The sequence below is a fragment of the Homo sapiens genome, chromosome 4 (assembly GCF_000001405.40).
Source record: "Homo sapiens chromosome 4, GRCh38.p14 Primary Assembly".
Taxonomy (NCBI): Eukaryota; Metazoa; Chordata; class Mammalia; order Primates; family Hominidae; genus Homo; species Homo sapiens.
Genome location: NC_000004.12, coordinates 70,761,547 through 70,786,040, shown reverse-complemented (window position 1 = coordinate 70,786,040; position 24,494 = coordinate 70,761,547). Strand labels below are relative to the sequence as shown.

The following is a 24,494-nucleotide window of genomic DNA, read 5'->3' as shown; positions in this document are numbered from 1 at the left end:
TACCATGCTTTCTTTATCCATTCAAGTGTTGATGAACACTTAGGTTGATTCCCTATCTTGGCTACTGTGAATAGTGCTGCAATAAACATAGGAGTACAGATTCTCTCTGACATACTGATTTCATTTCCTTTGGATATATCCCCAGTAGTGGGATTGCTGGATCTTTTGCTAGACTGATTTTTAATTAATTTATTTTTTATTTTTTGAGACGGAGTCTGGCTCTGTTGCCTAGGATGGAGTGCAGTGATACAATCTTGGCTCACTGCAGCCTCCGCTTCCCAGGTTCAAGCAATTCTCCTGGTCAGCCTCCCAAGTAGCTGGGATTACAGGTGCATGCCACCATGCCCGGCTGATTTTTTTTTTTTTGTATTTTTAGTAGAGATGGGGTTTCACCATGCTGGTCATGCTGGTCTCGAACTCCCGACCTTACGTGATCCATCCGCCTCAGCCTCCCAAAGTGCTGGGATTACAGGTGTGAGCCACTGTGCCTGGCCCGATTTTTAATTTTTTAAGACAACTATGTTTTCCATAGTGGCTATACTAATTTATATTTTCACCAGCAGTGTGTAAAGGTTCTCTTTCTCTACATCCTTGTCAACACTTATCCTTCAATTTTTTGATAGTTGCCATTCTGATTAGAGTGAGATGATATACTCTCTATCTATATATTGATATGTATTTTTTTTAATTTCTAAAAAAATCTTAAGACTAATACTGGATGATAAATTTTCCATTTATATCTAAGACCAATAATAAATCAGAAATAACAGCTAAAAATAAAATAGAGTAATCCTACATTAATGATTCTTTGTAAAGAAAAGAGGAGCCACCACCTCCAAGAATCTTTGCAGGGATGAGGACTTAGGTAGGAGTGAGACGGCATAGTTTAAAAAAGTAGGTTCTGTATACTTAATATTCTTGTAATACAAACTATAAAAGCAAAAAAATAAAGATTAACAAAATCTTGTTGAGAATACTCAGAAAAAGATTGAGAAAGTATGATAAGGAATGTGGGTTAAAAAGAGATGAACCATTTTATAGGATCTAGAATTTTTCAGAACACTACTGATATTCCTAATCTTGGTCTGTATGATAAAACCTCTAAGTGGGCAGTTACCTTTTAATATATTCCTGAACTATTAGAAATTAAGCATAGTTTACCAATCGTAATTGTGTCTCTTCTTTTAAATGCTTTCTTGCTTCACTTAGTGCTTGCCCTTCTGCAGTTCTGTCTTGCTTGGGACCCTTGAAAAGATAAATAACATTGTACATATTTAAGGATTTAATCTATACAGAATTAGACACTAACACTGCTACTTAGCAAGAAAAAAAGATCATACTGAAGCAGGTATAATAATGAACAAACACAACAAAGAAATTGAAGTCTAGTACATTTTTAAAGGTTAAGCTGAATTGGGGGCTTCCTGACACTTTATTTAAAATCCTAAAATAGGTTTCCAAACCAGATGGTAGAAGTTTTAAAAATCAGCCTCTAAAAATAACATAGCATTCATTTCAAAATATGAGTTGGGTTATAGGTTTTTTTTTTTTCTTTTTTGAGACGGAGTCTCACTCTGTCGCCCAGGCTGGACTGCAGTGGCTCAATCTCTGCTCACTGCAACCTCCACCTCCTGGGTTCAAGCGATTCTCCTGTCTCAGCTTCCCGAGTAGCTGGGATTATAGGCGTGCGCCACCACGCCCGGCTAATTTTTGTATTTTTAGTAGAGACGGGGTTTCACCACGTTGGCCAGGCTGGTCTCGAACTCCCGACCTCAAGTGATCTGCCTCCTTGGCCTCCCAAAGTGCTGGGATTACAGGCGTGAGCCACTGCACCCAGCCCAGGGGCTATAGGTTTAAATGTTAATACATTCAATCTCCAGAGAATTCGCAACTGGTTATCTTCAACTATCCAGCAAGATCACAGATAAAAACAAGCAGGTCATAAAAAAATTATTCTGAGCAGTCATGAAGTCCATGCATTATTAAAGTCAATCACTTTACTCATGGAAAACTGCTTTTGTCCCCTCGCAGAGCCTAGTAACTCTTTAAGAACAATTTTAATAACTATGGATTTGAATTCCTAGGGAGAGTAGATTAGAAGCATGAAGATAAAAGAAAGTAGAGATCATCCTAAAGATAACACCGAGCATCAGTAAAAAGTAAGAGATGCTATTGAATACGTAAAAGACAGGAAAAAAAACCATCCACAGAAATCGGGGAATATTTAAGTGTAGGTGTCAGAAGCTCTATCAATTTCAATAGCCTCCTAAAGTGGCACTATTATAATTTAGTAGGGAATTGTCAATGTTGGTAATTAATGATCCTCAGTCATCGTAAAGGGCTAAATGTATTAAATTATGTCCTTAATTAAGAAGGCTTGGAATTGTACAAAACATAAAGGTTTACAAAATTCTAATTAGACATGTATAAAAAGTTTGATACTTTAAGGAATTAAGTTATGTAGAAAATACATTTATATGGTAGCTCTTTCCCAGTGATATATAAATAAGGTGTCACTTCTTACAAAACAGTAACATGCTATAAAAGTAATAGTATGTTTAACATAACAAATTATTAAATACTGTTTGAACCATTAGTACATAAAAACAAGAAACTGAATTAGACTGTTTCTTGAAGTCTCTAAACAGATGTAGGTGGCTGTGAAGCCACGAAGCATCTTGTAGAAAAAGGCGCATAACCCTCCCACAACCTTCATCACACAATTATGCATGGAGTCTAAATAAAAAGTGTGCTTGATACAGGCCAGCTGCTTAAAATAGTCCTTTAGAGACTCCCCTTTACCACTAACAAGTTGATATGCTCTCAGTGAATATTTTATAAATCCAGTAAGATTAACCTTCCGATTGGATTCCAGTATGTAGGAACTTTCCTCTTTAACTCGTTCCATTTCTTCTTGTAAGGTAATGATCCTGTTGTTTGCAACTGCAAGCTGTGGATAAAATTTTAAAAATAATCTTTTATCTTTTTAAAATTAACATAGTATAAGATAATTCACGATCTGCTAGGATGTAATTCTCAGGCTTGGATATTCTTAGAAAGCAAGGAAGCTATAACCCAATAAAAATGTTCTTATAAGAACTCAAGAGAAATATTTTTCTTTATTTTTCTGAGACAGGGCCTCACTCTATTGCCCAGCCTGGAGTGCAGTGGCATAATCTCGGGTCACTGTAACCTCTGCCTCCTGGTTCAAGTGATTCTCATGCCTTAGCCTCCCAAGTAGCTGGGACTATAGGCATGCACCACCACGCCCAACTAATTTTTGTATTTTTAGTAGAGACAAGGTTTCACCATGTTGGCCAGGCTGGTGTTGAACTTCTGCCTTCAAGAGATCTGCCCACCTCGGCCTCCCAAAGTGCTGGGATTATAGGCATGAGCCACTGCGCCCGACCAAGAAATATTTTTAGAGCAGTCTAAATAAAAATAAAAAATATCTCCTTGGCCAGGTGCAGTGGCTCATGCCTGTAATCCCAGCACTTTAGGAGGCTGATGCGAGCGGATCACGAGGTCAGGAGATCGAGACCATCCTGGCCAACATGGTGAAACCCCATCTCTACTAAAAATACAAAAATTAGCTGGGCGTAGTGGTGTGTGCCTGTAATCCCAGCTACTCGGGAGGCTGAGGCAGGAGAATAGCTTGAACCAGAGGTTGCAGTGACCCGAGATCAAGATCGCGCCACTGCACTCCAGCCTGGTGAGAGTGAAACTCGGTCTCAAAAAAAAAAAAAAAAGAAATAAAATATCACCTTACTGCTACTTTTATATGAAAAGTTTTAACTTAAGATTATCTCAAGGGTGTTCTTATAGATGTACACATATTTAGTAAGAAAAAAATTATTTATTAATAATGTCTATTTCTAAAATGTTTAATAAAGGGGTCCTGTCACACCATGGAACCCATGTGACAAACGCTCTATAAGATCTTTTATAGATGATTTCTTAAAAGATTAAAGACATGAACTCCAAAGTTCTCATGCTAAAAGATCCCATTAAGCATTGAGGAGATTTTTCATTTCAACACCTAAAAAGATCAGGTAACGTTATTAGCAGTCAACTGCTACAGGGAAACATTTATATCTCTTTCTTAGAAGGAAAAAGTAAGGTGGAAACACTTTTTTCTTCTCTGCATCTACTAAACTCCCGGAGAATGTGAAGGTGCCTGTATGAGGCCGAGAGGAATAACCAAGCAGGCTCCTCTCAGCCAGGCTAGTCTCCTCAATTATTATCTCCTCATTAGCAGTGGGTGCAGGCTCTGCTCAGTTCCTGTCCTAACATGGTAAGCACAGAGAAGCTCATGCTTTCTGGGGGCAGGCCTGGAAGTCCAATTCTCTCTCAGATCCTGTGGCCTAAAAATGTGCACGAAACCAATTCTGGGCAAGTAGGTCTCCTCTCTAGATTCAAGTATGCCCTCAGGCAGGTCATTCCAAAATCTTGATTTAAGAGAAACTATTGGGAAACCTGATTATGGCTGCAGATCACAGGAGGCTTTCCAATTCAGCTTTACCAATAATGAAGTAGACATTTATTTATCTATTTATTTATTTGAGACAGGGTCTCCCTCTGTTGCCCAGGTTGGAGTGTGGTGGCACAATCTTGGCTACTGCAGCCTTGGTCTCCCAGGCTCAAGCAATCCTCCCTCCTCAGCATGCCGAGTAGCTGGGACTACAGGTGTGCACCACAACAGCCGGCTAATTTTTTTGGTGTAGAGATGGGGTCTCACTATGTTTCCCAGCCTAATCTTGAACTCTTGGCCTCAAACGATCCTCCTGCCTTGGCTTCCAAAGGGCTGGGATTACAGGTGTGAGTCACTGTGCCAGGCCTGAAGTGGATATTTATATCTTCATCTGCTTAATTCTTCTTAGTTTGTCATTCAGATTCAAAACCCAGGAGGGGAAAAGAGGTCTGCTATCTTTTTTACTGGCCCTTTTTTTTTTTTTTGTGAGATGGGGTTTTGCTATGTTGCCCACGCTGGTTTTGGAATCCTGGCCTCAAGCGATCCACCCACCTTGATGTCCCAAGTGTTGGGATTACAGGCATGAGCCACTGTGCCTGGCCTTACTGGCTTTCTTAAACCCAAAATGGAAATGAAAAAAGGCAGAACTAATGAGCCTCGTCTACTCTCTTAGAGCATATTTTCTTTAAGAAAATAAGTGCTACTGGTAAAATAAATAAGTCAATGAATAAATATTGTTAGTATTAATATGACTCTAAGGAAGACAAGTCTTATGACTGAGGGAATAAAATTAACAACTATATTTATTGAGTGCTTATGATGTGTTAGGTACTGTTCTAAGCCCTAATCATGTATTAAATCATTTCATTCACACAGCAATCTCATAAAATGTTATTATTGCTATTTCCATGTTATAGATAAATAAATCAAGGAATAGAAGCTTAAGTAATTGGCCCAGGATTAGAAGACTAGCAAGTGGCTGGGTACGGCGGCTCATGCCTGTAATCCCAGCACTTTGGGAGGCCGAGGCGGGTGGATCACCTGAGGCCGGGAGCTCAAGACCAGCCTGGCCAACCTGGTGAAACTCTGTTTCTATAAAAATACAAATATTAGCCAGCTGTGATGGTGCATGCCTGTGGTCCCGGCTACTCGGAGGCTGAGGCAGGAGAATTGCTTGAACCGGGAGGTGGAGGTTAAAGTGAGCCAAGATGGCACCACTGCACTTCAACCTGGGCGACAAAGCAATACTCTGTCTCAAAAAACAAAAAACAAAAAACAAAACAAAACAAAACAAAAAAACAAAAAACTAGCAAGTGCCAGAGCCAGGACATGAACCCAAGTAGCCTAACTTTAGAGATCATGCTTAATTGCTATGCTGTACTGCTTCAACATAGTAGCAGCAGAATAACAGTAAAAAATCTGTGCTGAACATTCCAAAAGCCTATGTGATAAGATTCTAAGGACCCTAAGCATAAAGTTTTAAGATATATAAAATTTAAAAATTTTTGTCCGAAAGTGAAGGTCACAGAGTTGAGTAATAAAAAAGGTATTTTAAAACTATAATAATGAAAATGTTCATTCTAAAGAAAAACTGATTAAAAGCATCTTCCTGACTAGTGCTTTAATTTGATTTTATTTAAACTAAATTCATCCCATGGGGTGTAAGGGCATCATTACAATTAGAAATAAAGAAGGTGGGCCAGGCGCAGTGGCTATGCCTATTATTCTAGCACTTTGGAAGGCCGAGGCAGGCGGGTCACTTGAGCTCAGCAGTTCAGGACCAGCATGGGCAACATGGCAAGACCCCCTCTCTACTAAAAATAGCCAGGTGTGGTGGTGTGTGCCTGTGATCCCAGCTACTTGGGAGGCTGAGGGTGGGAGATCACTTGAGCCCGGGGGGCGGGGGTTACAGTAAGCCCTTGTGTCACTGCATTCCAGCCTGGACAACAGAATGATACCCTATCTCAGAAAAAAAAAAAAAAAAAGAAAAAGAAATAAGGAAGGTAAACTCTTTGCCATCTGGACAATGTTATTTAGTATTTTTCATAAAACCATCTAATGCTATTTAAAGAAAAAATATCTGTAGCTAAGGCTTGGCAAGTTAAGGAAAAAATATTTTTATTAGAAGTAAAACATGAGGTTATTTTTCTGTTCTTATTTTAGGGACTTTTCTAAGAGTTTTCATATTCTTATCTGATCTTCAGAGTTAATTGTGAGGCCGAAAAGGAAGTGTATTGTAAACACTCTCATTTTCCAGTGACGGAACTCAGCCTCTTGGAGGTCAAGTGGCTGACTTACTCAGGAGCACATGAGTTACATAAGCATGATTTGTAGGCAGGGATTACTGATCTTCTGACCAGTACTCTTCACCTTATCTATGTAACTGTCCCAGGAAGAAAACAAGGACATAAGTGGTGGGGAGTTTGCCAATCTGGAACATAAATCAATGCCTGGCACATATAAATATTTGTCTAGCTCTTGCACATAAACTGTGTGAAACGCTTACTGAATAAATGATGAATATGCTATATGCTAAACATTTAATCTAGGCTAGCCCAGACAAAACATGCACACGAAAGAAACCAAGATACTCCATCAACCTGGCAACATGCCCCTACACAGTCTAATTGGGTAAATGAGATCCCTGCAATAAGCCAACTGGGCCGTTCTAGTCAGAATAAGGAGTTATGGGCCAGGCGAGGTGGCTCACGCCTGTAATCCCAGCACTTTGGGAGGCTGAGGCGGGTGGATCACCTGAGGTCAGGAGTTCAAGACCAGCCTGACTAACATGGAGAAACCCCGTCTCTACTAAAAAAATACAAAATTAGCCGGGGTGGTGGTGTATGCCTGTAATCCCAGCTACTCGGGAGGCTGAGGCAGGAGCATCGCTTGAACTTGGGAGACGGAGGTTGCGGTGAGCCAAGATCGCGCCACTGCACTCCAGCCTGGGCAACAAAAGCGAAACTCCATCTCAAAAAAAAAAAAAAAAAAAAAAAGAATAAGAAGTTATGTACTACAGTCAATATTATTTGAAAAGTCAAGTTCTTTCTTTCCAAGGTTACATTAAAATTATTGGTTCTACTAATGCATATTAAATTCTATAAGTCAATCAAAGCATTTCCAAAACTTACCTCCTCTGTCAGTTTAGTGTTGGATTTTTCTAATGCATCTACTTTTGCCTGAAGGTTGTTTACAGTAGCACTATAATATAGAGAAGAAAAAAAAGTCACTTTTGAAAAACAGACAATACTCTGTACCTTCCTTTTTAAACCCTTCACACTTATCCTTCATTGTCTAATGTTCATAATTTTTTATTTTATTATTATTATTATTTTTAGACGGAGTCTCGTTGTGTCGCTGAGACTGGAGTGCAGTGGTGCGATTCTCGGCTCCCTGCAACCTCTGCCTCCTGGGTTCAAGTGATTCTCTTGCCTCAGTCTCCCAAGTAGCTGGAGACTACAGACATGCACCACCAAATCCAGCTAATTTTTGTATTTTTTGGTGGAGATGGGGTTGCACCATGTTGCCCAGGCAGGTCTCAAACTGTTGACCTCAAGTGACCCACCTGCCTCGGCCTCCCAGAGTGCTGGGATTACAGGCATGAGCCACTGCGCCAGGCCTTAATGCTCACAAATCTTGACCTCTAGGCTTACAAAAGGCTATTATCTTTGGCATTTGAGTTTTAATTCAGTAAGTATTTATTCAATGAAATAAAAGAGTTCATTCCCTACAGAATAAACTTTGTTTATCTACATATGATAATAACAGTCTATATGAATTAAATACTTACATGCACCAAACCCTCTTCTAAATTACGTTATTTGCGTTATTGCATTTATTCCTTTCAACAACCCTTTATGTTAGGTATTCTCATTTACAGATAAAGAAACTAAGGCATAGAAAGAGTAAATAATAGTGCCATTGTTTATATTTCATTGTTAACTGTAACCATATCTTTGCTTGGCTAACATCTCCATAGTTCATTAAAGTCATTATATTAGTTCTTGGTCCCCAGAGAAAATGTACTTAAATTGTTTTGAATTTGCTAGGTGGAACCAAGACTACTTAAAATTTTACTGACAGTAGTATAATCATATTATAAGTTTTACTTAAATTAAAAATGTCTATTTTTCATAAGAGAACTACAAACAAGATAATTAATGAATATATTAATTATTCTTCAAAATTATTCAGTAGTCTTAACATAACAAGAACATCAAAGTACTTGAGAATACCAATAGCTTTTGGATAGCTCTTCTCAGGAGAGAGGAAACTGTTTTATGTTCTGGAAAATTCTGAAAATACAGTAGTCCTCTCTTATCTATAGTTTTGTTTTCTGTGGTTTCAGTTACCTGCACTCAACTGTGGTTCAAAAATAGGTAAGAATAGTACAATAAGATACTGTTCTCCCTCTGGGACTTCCTTGGGCAAAGCTGGGCATGTATTTTTTTCTTACATGTAAATAAGGATTTTGATAGACTCATGTATAAACGTATTTGTTTAAATCCCACATAAGATGTCCAAATCTGATTTGTGCTCTCTATGACACAAACAATAGAGGGAAGTATGAGTATGTTTAAAAAACACAAATAAATAAGGATTATCCAGTAAGGATTTTTACTTCTCCTAAGATAAAAAAATAAACTGTGAACATATATACAACACTGAATTGTCGTAAGGACAGTGGCCCTTAGAAAATCTTTTGGAAATAATGATTTCTCAATGCACAAAATCTTGAAACTGGTATTTCTAATGCTTTCTTTCTCTAATTTTTGTTTTGTTTTGTTTTGTTTTGAGACGGAGTCTCGCTCGGTTGCCCATGCTGGAGTGCAGTGGCGCGATCTCGGCTTACTGTAAGCTCTGCCTCCCGGGTTCACGCCGTTCTCCTGCCTCAGCCTCCCGAGCAGCTGGGACTACAGGCGCCTGGTACCACGCCCGGCTAATTTTTTTTGTATTTTTAGTAGAGATGGGGTTTCACCGTGTTAGCCAGGATGATCTCCATATCCTGACCTTGTGATCCGCCTGCCTCGGCCTCCCAAAGTGCTGGGATTATAGGCGTGAGCCACTGCTCCCGGCCTCTTTAATTTTTAATTAAACTTTAATGTTTTATTCACTGTGCTCAGATATAGAATAGCCATAGTCATTTAAGGACAATAAGAAATATAAATACAGAAAACTGAAGGGGGAAAAAAACCTGAGAAAACTAGGAAGAAGAAGTTCAATGAAAACAAAATAAAAGGATGTGTTGATTTTGAGGGAGACACTACATTCACATTACTTTTATTATAGTCTATTGTTAAAGTTGTTTTATTTTATTATTGTTGCTAATCTCCTACCTTGCCTAATTTATAAATTAAACTTTATCATAGGTACATATGTATAGGAAAAAACATAGCATATATAGGGTTTGGTACTATCTGTGGTTTCAGATATCCTTTGGGGGTCTTAGAATGTATCCCCTCCACATAAGGGGGAACTACTGTACTTTGTGAATACTTGGTGAATTAACTGTAATAATGGCAAAGAAATTCAATTTATATATTAAATTAATGCTATTAATTCAATGTATAAATGAGAAATGCAGGAAAACAAAGCATGTATCTTTTTTTTCGTTTTTTTTTTTTTGTTTAAGACAGTGTCTCGCTCTGTAACCCAGGGTGGGGTGTAATGGCAAGACCAGGGTTCACTGCAGCCTCAGCTTCCCAGGCTCAAGTGATCCTCCTCCTGTCTCAGCCCCACAAGTAGCTGGGACTACAGGCACATGCCCGGCTAGTTTTGAGTTTTTTAATAGAGACAAGGTCTTGCTATGTTACCCTAGCTCATCTTGAACTCCTGAGCTAAAGCAATCCTCCTGCCTTGGCCTCCCAAAGTGTTGGGACTACAGGCTTTGGCCCAGCACACCTGGACGATATGATTAATTTAAAGGTACTAATGTAATGAGTGGTTTACCCAAGATCAGTTCTGAAATATGCAGCTATCTCTACTAAACTGAAAAAGCTACCAATTTCAACTGTATATGTCACATATTTTAAAATTCTTAACTGAATGTATTTACGTATTTATCTATTTAATCACTAGAGTTATAATTACATACGTAATATTATATACTATGTTATTATATATTATATATAACATTATATACTGCCTTTCACTAAAGGTCACCAAAACTGTTAAATGCCATTTATTTATCTAGTGCCTAACTCAGTGCCTGGCAAACAGGAATTCTACATATATTTGTTGAACACTGTCTGAATTTATCCTCACTGCGCATCATCTTACTCTTCCCTTCTCCTTCAACAATTCCCCAGTAAAGTAATATATTTATTCATTATTTACTTCAAATGTCTGTTCAGTTCTTCTACATAGTTCTTCTGGTCCAGAATTGCAGTAATCTGACCGTCTCTGGGGGAAGGGGAAGAAAATAGAAATAAAATAAATAACATAAGAAATACCAAGATCCCAACCCCACCCCACCCCATCTTTTCATAAAACATGAGAAAAAAATTGTGGCACAGATACACTGAACCATAAGACAGATTTGATGTAAAACCCTCTTGACATAGCAACAAGAAAGAGTCAGGAGTTTAAAAATGACAAAACCCCTCACTAATAAAGCTCTTGTTATAGCTTACAAACCTCAGTATTAATAATTTAGGTCACAGGTATGATGTTGCAATCTATTAGACGCATTTAAAGGATAAAAATTTTCTTGTTAATAGGTTTTTCAGCTTCACTAGTAGTATTTATAGTAACAACTTTCCAATTGTCATAGGACTTGAATTAAGCTCACTCTGATGTAATATAGCTGTTCTCAAGGGCTAAATATTTGTCTGTAAGTGCTATTTAACATTTAAAGTGAATGGTTAAAAAGGGTTTCACGAAGATTGAATGTTTATTTTATATATATATATATATATATATATATTTTTTTTTTTTTTTTTTTTTTTTTTTTTTTGAGGCAGAGTCCTGCTTTGTCACCCAGGCCGGAGTGCAATGGTGTGATTTCGGCTCACTGCAACCTCCACCTCCCGGGTTCAAGCAATTCTCCGGCCTCAGCCTCCCAAGTAGCTGGGATTACAGGCACCCGCCATAATGCCTGGCTATTTTTTTTTTTTTGTATTATTGTAGAGATGGGGTTTCACCATGTTGGCCAGGCTGGTCTCAAACTCCTGACCTCAGGTCATCTGCCTGCCTCGGCCTCCCAAAGTGCTGGGATTACAAGCATGAGCCACCATGCCCGGCCCAAATGTTTATTATTACATGAAAAATTAAACTGTGGATAAAGAAGGTTCACGTCTACAACCAACTAATCTGTAGTAGACAAAAGATAAACAGCCAGATTTTTCAGCTGTAAGATAAAATTAAGGCCCCAAACCTATACAATTACTAAAAGAACAGTGAGATAATCTTAGCTCAATGTCAAAAATTAAAAATCAGACTAATTATGCTTTCAATGGCTAAATTTATAAAAAGAATAGATGTGCTTCTGATCTCTAATTACTAAGTACCATAATGAATATTTTAAAAGTGTTTAACACAATTTTAGATATACAAGAAGAGGTATAAACGCAGCACAGAGTTCCCATGTACCTTCAATCAGTTTCCCCTAATGTCAATATTTTACATAACCTCACAGTGCATATTTCATATTGCCAATTTTAAGCAAACTGAGAATGCGACTCCTCTGGTCAAAATGACCATGTTTTTAAACCCTACTATAAGACATGGAGAATTGGAATCCTTTAGAAAATTTGTATTTTCTTTGCCCCTGAACCACATAGCAGGAAAATCATTAAACAAACAAACAAAAAAATCCTTTTAGGGTTTAGAGGTAGGCGTAATAGTCAGATATTTCTGGCAAGACTTTATTAAAGCTATATGATCAGAAATTCTTTCAGCACGTCTGTTAAAACAGTATTGTTGTAAACTTTAAGTACCACCAAAGGAAAAAAAATGCTACATCAGGAGAAAAGAAATCTAATTTTCTTTGTACGTACCCTTCAGTACCTTTACTGCTGTTCCCGTCCTTGAGATACATTGAAAAATCTATAACTCCAACCTACAGAGAGAATTTTCAGGTTTTAATATAAAATTAGATATTCTTTACAAGGCATAACACAATGTCTCCTTCTAGGCACTCAAAACAGTAATACAGTCATGACACTTACTAGAAATTTACGATTAAAAATGTACTGTTTTACTTTCAGTTTAATCAAGAATTAACAAGAGTTGGAAGTAAAGAATCAAGATTATGTCAATAAGACTAGAAGACTAGATCACAACTAACACAGTCAACAGAATACTTAATATAAATAAGGTCTAAAGTTTCTTTCTCTTTTGCTTATTTCGGGTATTCTGCTACTGAATCCCTGTTCATTTTTAGAAATAACTTTTTAAAAATTAGCACATTTCCCCTGTAGAAGTTTCAGAAAATACAGCTAAAAAAAAGGGGAAGTAATATTAAACACTCATAATCCCAACCACTGAAGATGACCATTGCTAATATTTTGGTGTCTGTTCCTCCAAACTTTCATTGATGTACACGTCTTCATTTTTCAAGATTGCCATTTTATTATTTAGCTTATTTCTTTTTAAAAATCCACACCAAAGGCCGGGCGCAGTGGCTCTTGCCTATAATCCCAGCACTTTGGGAGGCCGAAGCGGGTGGATCACCTGAGGTCAGGAGTTCGAGACCAGACTGAACAACATGGAGAAACCCTGTCTCTACTAAAAATACAAAAATTAGCTGGGTGTGGTGGCACATGCCTGTAATCCCAGCTACTCGGGAGGCTGAGGCAGGAGAATTGCTTGAATCCAGGAGGTGGAGGTTGCGGTAAGCCAGGATCTCACCATTGCACTCCAGCCTGGGCAACAAGAGCAAAACTCCGTCTCAAAAAAAATAAAAATAAAAAAATAAAAAAAAAATCCACACCAAAAAATCTTACTTCCCTTCCTATTTTACCAGAATAAAACATAACAGAAGTTTGTCATAGTATTTCATACAGAAAGGGTGAGAAGTAATTAAAGTGAAAACATTATTTATTGGGCAATTAATGTGTACTAGGCCCTGTTCTAACTGCATTACATCAAGAAATCTGAAACAACAAGAAACTAAGTAATTATAAAATATATTCAGCTAGAAAATGAGGAAGCCAGAATCCAAACCTAGGCAGTTAGCTTCAGAGCCTTTACTCTTAACTACCGTGCTTTAATGGCCTTTAGTACAGTTCGCTCTCATTCTCAGCAAGTCCTAAAATCCAAGGACGCAGAGGGCTGACTGTAAGGGCTTGAGCATTGTGAGTGTTGGTATTCATGGAGGTGCTGGAAATAATCTCCTTTGGACACTGAAGGACAACTGTACAGTTGATTCTTGAACAACACGACTTTGAATTGTGCGAGTCCACCTATATACTATATATATACACAATATAAAATATATATTTATATTATATTATTTTATTTCTGAGACAAAGTCTCACTCTGTCATCCAGGCAGAAAAAAAAAAGGTTTTCCTCCATCTCTGCCACTCCTGAGACAGCAAGACCAACCGCCTCCTCTTCCTCCTCCTCCTCATCAATCTGGTTAGTGTGAAGACCTTTATGATGATCTGGTTCCTTTATGATAATCCATTCATTTAAATGAATAGTAAATATATTTTCTCATCTTTATAATTTTCCTATAATATTTTCTTGTCTCTAGCTTACTTTATTGTAAGAATACAGCATATGAAATATACAATAGGCCAGGCGCCATGGCTCATGCCTGTAATCCCAGCACTTTGGGAGGCCGAGGCAGGAGGATCACTTGAGCTCAGGAGTTCAAGACCAGCTTAGGCAACATAGCGAAACTCTGTCTCCACAAAACAAAAAAATTAGCTGGGTGTGGTAGCATGTTCCTATAGTCCCAGCTACTCTGAAGGCTGAAGTGGAAGGATCAATTAAGCCTGGGAGGCAGAGGTTGCACTGAGCTGAGTTCACTCCACGGCACTCCGGCCTGGATGACAGTGAGACTTTGTCTCAAAAATAAAATAAAATAAATATAAATATAACTATTTATAATATACAAAATATGTGTTAATTGACTGTTTATGTTACTAGTAAGGCCTCTGGTTAATCGTATGCTATTAGTACTTAACGTTTTTAGGGAATGAAAAGTTTTAGGTGAATTTTCTATGTGGGATGTTTCTACCATGTGGAATGCCTTACTCTGTTGTTCAAGAGTCAACTGCATATATTTTAGTATACACACACACGCACACACACACATACCTCATTTTATTGCACTTTGCTTCACAGATATTGCATTTTTTACAAATTGAAGGTTTGTGGCAACCCTGCGTCATGCAAGTATATTAGTGCCATTTTTCCAACAGCATGTGCTCGCTTCATGTCTCGGTTTCACATTTTGGTAACTCTCACAGTACTTTAAACTTTTTCTTTATTATTACATCTGCTATGATAACCTGTAATCAGTGATCTTTGATGTTACTATCAAAATTATTTTGGGGCTCCATGAACTACGCCCATATAAGATGGCAAGCAATCCATAAATGTGTATGTTCTCACTGCTCTACTTACTGGCCGTTCCCCCATCTCTCTCCCTTCTCCTTGGCCTCCCTATTCCCTAAGACACAACAATACTGAAATTAGGCCAATTAATAACCCTGCAATGGCCACTAAGTGTTCAAGTGAAAGGAAGAATTGCACATTTCTTATTTTAAATCAAAAGCCAGAAAAAATTAAGCTCAGTGAAGAAGGCATGTCGAAAGAGAAGACAGGCCAAAAGGTAGGCTTTTTGGGCCAAACAGCCAGGTTGTGAAAGCAAAGGAGAAGTGCTTGAAGGGAATTAAGTGCTACTCATGAACAAATGAATGACAAGAAAGCAAAACAGCCTTATTGCTGACAGGAATAAAGTTTGAGTGGTCTGTATAGAAGATCAAACCAGCCACAACATTCCCTTAAGCCAACACCTAATTCAGAGCAAGGCCCTAATGCTCTTGAATTCTATGGAGATTGAGAGGTAAAAAAGCTGCAGAGGAAAAGCCTGAAGTTAGCAGCCACTGGTTTACGAGGTTTAAGGAAAGTGTCTCCATAACATAAAAGTACAAGTTGAAGCAGCAAGCACTGATGTAAATAATAGAAGCTGTAGCAAGTTATCCAGAAGATCTAATTAAGATAATTGATGAAGGTGGATACACTCAACAACAGATTTTCACTGTAGTCAAAACAGCCTTCTATTAGACAATGCCATCTAGGACTTTCATAGCTATAGATGAGAAGTCAATGCCTGGCTTCAAAGCTGCAAAGGACAGACTGACTCTCTTGTTAGAGGCTAATACAGCTGGTGACTCTAAGTTGAAGCCAGTGCTCATTTACCATTCTGAAAATCCTAGGGCCCTTAAGAATGATGCTAAATCTACTCTGCCTATGCTTTATAAATGGAATAGTGGGCTGGGCATGGTGGTTCATGCCTGTAATCCCAGCACTTTGGGAAGCCAAGGCAGGCAGATCACTTGAGGCCATGAGTTTGAGATCAGCCTGGGCAATATGGCAAAACCCCATCTCTACTATAAATAAAAAAATTAGCTAGGTGTGGTGGTGCATGCCTGTAGTCCAGCTACTCAGGAGGATGAGGCATGAGGATTGCTTGAGCCCAGGAGGCGGAGGTTGCAGTGAGCTGAGATGGTGCCACTGCATTCCAGCCTGGGAGACACATTAAGACTCTGTCTCTAAAAAACAAAAAACAAAAACAAAAACAAAACAAAAATAAAGGGTACAACAAAGACAGCACATCTGTTTACAGCATGGTTTACTAGAGTATTACATAAACTTAGTTGATAAAGCAGCAGCAAGATTTGAGAGGACTGACTCCAATTTTGAAAGAAATTCTACTGTGGGTAAAATGCTGTCAAACAGCGTGGTATGCTACAGAGAAATCTTTTGTAAAGGAAGCCAATTAATGTGGTAAACTTCATTGTTGTCTTATTTTAAGAAATTGCCACAGCCACCTCAACTTTCAGCAACTGCCAAGATCAGTCAGCAGCCATTAACACTGAGGTAAGACCCTCTACCAGCAAAAAGATTACAACTCACTGAAGGCTCAGGTGATTGTTAGCATTTTTTTAGCAATAAAGTATTTTTAAGTTAAGGTATGTACATTATTTTTTACACTTACACTATCACATACTTAATAGACTACAGTATAATGCAAACAAACTTTTTATTTAAAAAATTTTTTTTAGAGTTTTATTTTGAGACAGGGTCTCACTGTCACCCAGGCTGGAATGCACAATTATGGCTAACTATAGCCTCGACTTCCCAAGCTTAAGTGATCCTCCTGCCTCAGCCTCCCAAGTAGCTACACAACCAGCTAATTTTTTATTTTTTGTAGAGACGGGGTCTCACTATGTTGCCCAGGCTGGTCTCAAACTTCTGGGTTCAAGTGATACTCCTGCCCCAAAGTGCAGGGATTACAGGTGTGAACAATCGCACCTGGCCTAGTATAAACAAACTTTTACATGTACTGGGAAACCAAAAAATGCATGTGACTTGCTTTATTATGATATTTGCTTTATTGTTGTGATCTGAAACCAAACCTGCAATATCTCTGGGTATACCTGTGTTTGTGTGTGTATGTATGTGTATGTAAATGTGTATGTGTGTGTGTGTATATGTATGTTTAACAGAGAGTACAGCCAAGACAAGAATCTAAAAAACATTCGTAACGTATAAATGAGCCAAACTGGAAGGAAAAACAATCTTTTTTTTATATTCCCATCAAAATGGAAGGAAATCCTGTTTATGACTCATAGAATATGGCCTAATTTGGTTGGTATAACCTAATCAAATCCACTTCTGAGATAGCAGAACTCAGAGTGACACCCATGGGAATGAGTCTCTTTCCCATACCTGAGAGTCCAAGTCTTCTCCTTTCATACAGAAATTGGCATCAATGACATTCAGACCCACCAACAGACCAGCAATTATGGCTCCTTCTTCTTCCATCATGAGGGCATTGGGTTCGTAGAATTCACTGTAAGAGAAATCCACAGAATTCCTTATTGTAACAAAAATCTCAAAAATCCAGAGACAAGGACAAAAATGGTTGATTCATGGTTGAATCATAGTCATCATGGTTGATTATAGCCATCTACAAAAATAGTAAAAAAAAAACTACAAAAAGAAAGGCTTTAGTAAATATTTTACTTTTAGAATAATAGGTGGATGTTGGCAAGTGGCACTGGAGAAAAAATTTTTTAAAAGAAAAAAATAATAGGCGCATGAATAGATTCTTTAAATAATAGGCTGGCAGAAAGACGTGACTGAACAGTATTGTGGTTGAAGCAGGTATTCAGACTTTTCTGACATATTTGTACTTGTGATGCACCATCAGATAATTTTGCAATCTTTTATGCATCTTAAAACATTTGTTTGGTAGCTCGGCATGGTGGTTCGCACCTGTAATCCCAGCACTTGGGGAGACCAAGGCGGGAGGACTGCTTGAGCCCAGGACTTTGAGACCAGAGTGAGCAACATAGTAAGACCCCATCTCTACTAAAAACAAAAAAAAATCTGAATGGATAAAAATTATTGGCTGGGCACGGTGGCTCACGCTTGTAATCCCAGCACTTTGGGAGGCCGAGGCGGGTGGATCACTTGAGGTCAGGAGTTCAAGACCAGCCTGGCCAACATGGTGAAACCCCATCTCTACTAAAAATACAAAAATTAGCTGGGTGTGGTGGTGCACACCTGTAATCCCAGCTACTCAGGAGGCTGAGGCAGGAGAATCGCTTGAACACAGGAGGCGGAGGTTGCAGTGAGCTGAGATTGTGCCACTGCACTCCAGCCTGGGTGACAGAGCAACACTCTGTCTCAAAAAAAAAAATTCGTGAAGACCCATAGATAATTAAATACTGCTTATAATGCACCTAAATTACTAATACACACACAAAAAAACCAGTGATGTAATTCATATGATCTAACTATTGCATTCCTTGGTATTTACCCAACTGAGTTAAAAACTTACGTCCACACAAAAACCTGCATACATGTGTTTATAGCAGTTTTACTCTTAATTGCCAAAATTTGGGAGCAACCAAGATGTCCTTCAGTAAATGAATGGACAATGGCATATGACTTAGCACTAAAAAAAGGGAGCTATCGCCAGGCGCAGTGGCTCACGCCTGCAATCCCAGCACTTTGGGAGGTCAAGGCGGGTGGATCACCTGAGGTCGGAAGTTCGAGACCAGCCTGACCAACATGTAGAAACCCTGTCTCTACTAAAAAAAAAAAAAAAAAAAAAAAAAAAAAATACAAAATTAGCCGGGCATGGTGGCACACGCCTGTAATCCCAGCTACTCAGGAGGCTGAGGCAGGACAATCACTTGAACCTGGGAGGCGGAGATTGCGGTGAGCTGAGATCGTGCCACTGCACTCCAGCCTGGGCAACAAGAGTGAAACTCTGTCTCAAAGAACAAAAAAAAAGGGAGCTATCAAGCCACAGAGGAAACTTAAATGCATATTACTAAGTGAAAGGTGCCAGTCTGAAAAGGCCATATACTCTATGATTCCCACTACATGACATTCTGGAAAAGGAAAAACCACAGAGACAGTAAACCCCTGGTAACAACAGTACAATCACAGTACGATCAGTGGTTATTAGGGGTTGGAGGACAGAGAGATGAATAGGTGGAGCACAGAGGATTTTTTAGGGCCATGAAACTATTTTGTATGGTACTATAATGACATATGGATACATATCATTATACATCTGTCAAAATCCATAAAACATACAATACCAAGAGTAAACCTTAATGTGAACTATGAACTTTGGGAGATAATGATGTGTCAATGTAGGTTCATCAATTGTAACAAATGTACCACTCCTGTGGGATGTTGATAATGAGGGAGGTTGTACAGGGGGGAAGGGTATGTATGAAAAATATCTGTACCTTCTACTCAATATTGCTATAAATTTAAAACCACTCTAAAAAATAGTCTTTTAGATTTTTTAAAAAAATGGAAACAGGCGGGTGCGGTGGCTCACGCCTGTAAACCCCACACTTTGGGAGGCTGAGGCAGGTGGATCACTTGAGGTCAGGAGTTGAAGACCAGCCTGGCCAACGTGGTGAAACCCTGTCTGTACTAAAAATACAAAAATTAGCCAGGTGTGGTGGTGCATGCCTATAGTCCCATCTACTCGGGAGGCTGAGGCAGGAGAATCGATTGAACCTGGGAGGTGGAAGCTGCAGTGAGCCGTGATTGCACCACTGCACTCCAACCTGGGTGACAGAGCGCGAGTCTCTTAAAGCAAAACAAAACAAAACACGAAAACCCAGTGACCTGAATTATTCATTTTCAGTCAATTTGACATCATGATTAAAACAACACTGCAATCAATTTGTTTTCAACAAGTTACCTGGGGGTAAAGGTCAACCTCAATCACTGTTAACAATCAATATAATTCACTGATATTAGTTCCTTATTTCTTTTCTGATTCACTATAAAAGATATTAATAGGCTGGGCTCACGCCTGTAATCCCAGCACTTTGGGAGGCCAAGGTGGGTGGATCACGAGATCAAGAGATCGAGACCATCCTGGCCAACACGGTGAAACCCCGTCTCTACTAAAAATACAAAAATTAGCTGGGTGTGGTGGTGTGCGCCTGTAGTCCCAGCTACTCAGGAGGCTGTGGCAGGAGAATCGCTTGAACCCGGGAGGCGGAGGTGGCAGTGAGTGGAGATAGCGCCACTGCACTACAGCCTACAGCCTGGTGACAGAGTGAGACTCTGTCTCAAAAAAAAAAAAAAAAGATATTAACAAATGACAAAATAGCACAAAAACAGCAAGTGAATGAGCTGCAAATTTACTGTTTCTCTCAAAAACTGATCACATGCTATTTTTGTTCTTTGATAGCCTCTGAAGGAAACTGAGTAGAACTGGAATGAACAAGGTTCTTTGACAGTTTATTGTCCCAAAAGCCTAACCTTATGAACTGTTCAGAAGTGGAATATGGCTGAATTCCAACATTCACACATTTCCAAATCTCAGCTAACTGTTAGTTCCATGAACTTTCACAAAAAACACATCTATCTGTGTAATCACTATCATGATCAGGAAAGAGAACAGTACTGAAATCCTAGAAATCGGATTCTTTCTCTCTTCCAATCTCTACCCCCACCTCTTCAAGGTAACTATTATCCTGATTTCTATCACCATAGATTGATTTTACCTAGTTTTGACCTTTATACAATGGAATCATATAATAAAGACGGATAAAATAATGTTGTTTTGCCTCTCCCAGTTGTATCTATGATCTACTGGAAGATTTTGTGATTTTACAAATATATATATATATATACACATTTTTTTTTTTTTTTTTTGAGACAGAGTCTCACTCTGTCGCCCGGGCTGAAGAGTGGTGGCACGCTCTCGGATCACTGCAGCTTCTACTTCCCAGGTCCAAGCGATTCTCGTGCCTCAGCCGCCCAAGTAGCTGGGATTACAGGTGTCCACCGCCACGCCCGGCTAATTTTTATATTTTTTTAGTAGAGATAGGGTTTCGACATATTGACCAGGCTGGTCTCAGACTCCTGGCCTCAAGTGGTCTGCCCACCTTGGCCTCCCGAAATGCTGGGATTACAGGCGTGAACCACTGCACCCGTCCAATTTTGTGCTATATTTGAATTTAATGCTACATGTCAAGTTCTTGTCTTATTGAGCCTGGGCACATGCTAAGGTGCCTTCTGTTTTCTAGAGGTAAGTCTTGGCCTGCCTTGGAAAGGACCAATATATGCCACAGTGACAGACAGAACACACATAACATAAATCATCCATTTGGGAGGATATGTGTGTGAGGTATGAGAGAAAGTATCAGTGAAGCTGTTATGAATCAAATGTTTCTGATCTACAAAAATAGTGAACTTATATGGTTTGACTTTATACGATGTAGAACATACCAAGGAAAGAAGAAAGTTCAAGAAGGTGTTCATACCTGAGAAGTTCTTTCTTATTGATCAAAGCTTTCATATATTCTGAAAGTTTCTTTTGCATTAATGCCAAACGAAGCCAGGCTCTTCCTCTACCTACTGGTGTCCTACAAAAACACAGAAATCAAACAACTGAAAACATAAGCACCAGAAGCAAAGGCTACAGTAGAATCAGTTCACTTATTCTTGCTAATGGTATTCCAGTGTAACAAGCACACTGAGGTGCTCCTCAGGACCTCTCCCAGTACATTCCCATGCAAGGAATTTTTGTGTGTGGGCTAATGTGACCCGGAACAAATGCTTTCAAAAAGAATTACTGAATGTAACTACAATTTGAAGACACAGCCTCTGGGAGACCCAACTAAAAATGTTCCATCAGATCAATAATAGCAAATCCTTATAAATTCAGTGTGGATTATATAAATGTCCAAAGCATGAATGTGGACACAGGCAATCTAGGCCTCTGTCTGATTAAAATTAAACCAGTCTCATTTGGGAAGGTGGTCACTACTTTATAGTTCTAAGGCAGGCTACAGTCACTAGCTCTTCAGGTTAATTTGACAGCTGTTTTAATCTTGACTCTCAAACCCACTGAATACCTTTTTTCCCTAAGTCAAGTACAGCATGCCACCCCCTTAGATATGATTCTCCCAAGTGCTTTAAAAAATAAGCAAATGTTTGGCATTTCAACAAAAAGACAATCTCTCTTAGATGAATAATTATCCCTCAAGAGCACATTTTTCTCAATATTCTGTATACCAATTCTCTCCTGTCAGCACCTATTCATGACATCATGCATTTTGGATTGTTATAAAATAAATTATTCGTACATAATTGTCTTTAGTCTTGCTCTTCAAGGGATAGTTAATAAGAATGCTGTTCCTGAGAAATGGAATTCAACCTTAGACTTACTTAAGTCCTGGAAGATCTTTAACACTTGCTGTTATCTCTGCGGCTTCTGGAACAAGCTTTTCTACCAGTTCTAGAGGCCCCCAGAAGGATTTATTTTGTCCGAGAAAAGTTTTTTTAGCTAAGGCAACAAAAATAAAGCAGTATTTTAATATTCTTTACAACATAAGCGCACTCTCAATACACACACACATACACACACAACTTTTCAGGAAACCAATCCTAGGTTATAAGATGGTTTTGGATTCATTCATGCTTTTAGAATAGATAATATTTTGTGAAAATAAAAAAATTCTCTACTTCCCAAGACTCAGCCCTTCTTCTTTCACAAACAGTTTGTGGCCTAGCCCTATAATATAATAAAACATTTTAACAATTTAGTGCCTAAAATTGTGTGGTATTAATGAAGAAAACAGCTCAATAGAAAAGAATATGTAATCCAGAAATAGGCTATGGAATATTGGGAAGTTGGTAAGCATAGGCATACAGATTTAAAAAAAACAATCAAACAAAAAACAACAAGAAAAGAATATTGAGAAGGCAAGAAGAAAGGAAACAAGGGTGAACAAGACCAGTTACTGCCCTCAAAAGCTTATAGTTAAGTGGAAAGAACACTGACCCAAGAGTCGGGAGACCTGAGTTCTAGCACCTACTCTGCCACAACTCAATGTGTGACCTTGACCAAGTCATGTCTCATTCTGGGCAGGCCTATTTCCACCTGTCAAACAGAACTACTGTACTGTACTTGATTACTTATAATGGCCCCTCCAACTGTAACATTTAATGATCTGTATTTTTAAAGCCCTATAAGTCCATTGAGTCAACCATAACCCTGCTCCTATAAAAGACTGCATTCCAATGGATTAATATTATTAATTCAAGCCTCTTATTCTTTGGCTCCACAAAGAATGCTTTCTTCTATAGTATGCATTGCTAGAAAACAGCTGCATGCATATTTGCATTTTGGGGTGATGGCCTACCTTTCAAGCCATGTTTCAGACAGTGCTCCATCACCACAAAGAATTGCTGGAGAGGTGCATAGTCAGAGTCAAGAGTCCTCCCCAGGTTCAGAGCTGATTCAATCAAGCCCTTGATACTCAGCTTGGCCATGTTCATGAGGTTCATGCGTTCATTAGCCATGAGATAATTAGGATCTGCAGCCAAAGGGGAAGAAGATGAAGGCTGGTTACTAGAAATAGCACATTTTAAAATTCAGTATTAGTTGTATTCTTCTCCACCATGTACTCACTGTGAAAAAAAATGCCAGTTTCCTTTAAGAATATCCTCAATGAAGCAGTAAAATGAACTATTTTATCAAATCTCAAGCCTTGAGTAGTCTTTTCTTTCTTTTTTTCTTTGAGACAGGGTCTTGCTCTGTTGCCCAAACTGGAATGCAGTGGCATGATCATAGCTCACTGTAGCCTCAACCTTCTGGGCTCAAGTAACCCTTCTGTCTCTGCCTCCCAAGTAGCTGGAACTATAGGCGCACGCCATCACACTGGCTAATTTTTGTATTTTCTGTAGAGACATGGTCTCACTTTGTTGCCCAGGCTGGTCTTGAGCTCTTGAGCTGAAGCGATATTCCCACTTCGACCTCCCAGAGTGTTGGGATAATACGCGTGAGCCACCATGCCTGGCTGAGTAGTCTTTTAATAGTCTCACCACCACCTCTGCTATCACCCTAACCTAAGCATCTGTCATAACTCCCTACTGTACTACCTTCACACTGCTCTCTCTGCTTCCATTCTTGCCTACCCCTCTTTTCTCTGCATAATTTGTGAAGTGCTCTAAAAATAAAGCCCCAATGTAGGAAAAAAAGGGTAAAGGGCTTAAACAAACTTTGCATTATGGTATTTTATTATTCTTTAAACTATGCACTAGCATTATTAGTATAATGCAGTACTAGAACTTAATCAACTCCCACATTTTTAAGTCTTAGCATACAGTGTATGGCTCTCATCAACCAGATGGATAAACTATTTGGGGAAAGGGGCTAAGTGACACATTTTATTGTACTCATTACCTTCATTTATTGGTGCTTACACTGTGCCAGCACTGTGGGCTACCTCTTACAATTATGATCTCCATCTCTCCTTACAACATGCTGTGAGACAGTCACCAATACA

General features: G+C 38.8%; 1 protein-coding gene across 21 annotated transcripts in view; it reads right to left on the bottom strand.

Moving 5' to 3' along the window:
- RUFY3 (RUN and FYVE domain containing 3) overlaps nt 1-24,494 on the bottom strand; it is a 104,853-nt gene that overhangs the window by 22,579 nt on the left and 57,780 nt on the right. For all 21 annotated transcript variants that reach the window (XR_007096385.1, XR_007096384.1, XR_938709.4 and 18 more), the window contains 9 exons: nt 23,349-23,522; nt 22,372-22,489; nt 21,465-21,566; nt 17,380-17,503; nt 12,469-12,530; nt 10,808-10,873; nt 7,603-7,672; nt 2,858-2,950; nt 1,162-1,245 (listed from right to left, as the gene is read on the bottom strand). Coding sequence is in view for 18 of the 21 variants with exons in the window: in XM_011531750.3 (XP_011530052.1) it covers nt 1,162-1,245; nt 2,858-2,950; nt 7,603-7,672; nt 10,808-10,873; nt 12,469-12,530; nt 17,380-17,503; nt 21,465-21,566; nt 22,372-22,489; nt 23,349-23,522 (893 nt within the window). In the remaining 3 variants the exon portion in view is untranslated. The remainder of the gene's footprint in view (nt 1-1,161; nt 1,246-2,857; nt 2,951-7,602; nt 7,673-10,807; nt 10,874-12,468; nt 12,531-17,379; nt 17,504-21,464; nt 21,567-22,371; nt 22,490-23,348; nt 23,523-24,494) is intronic.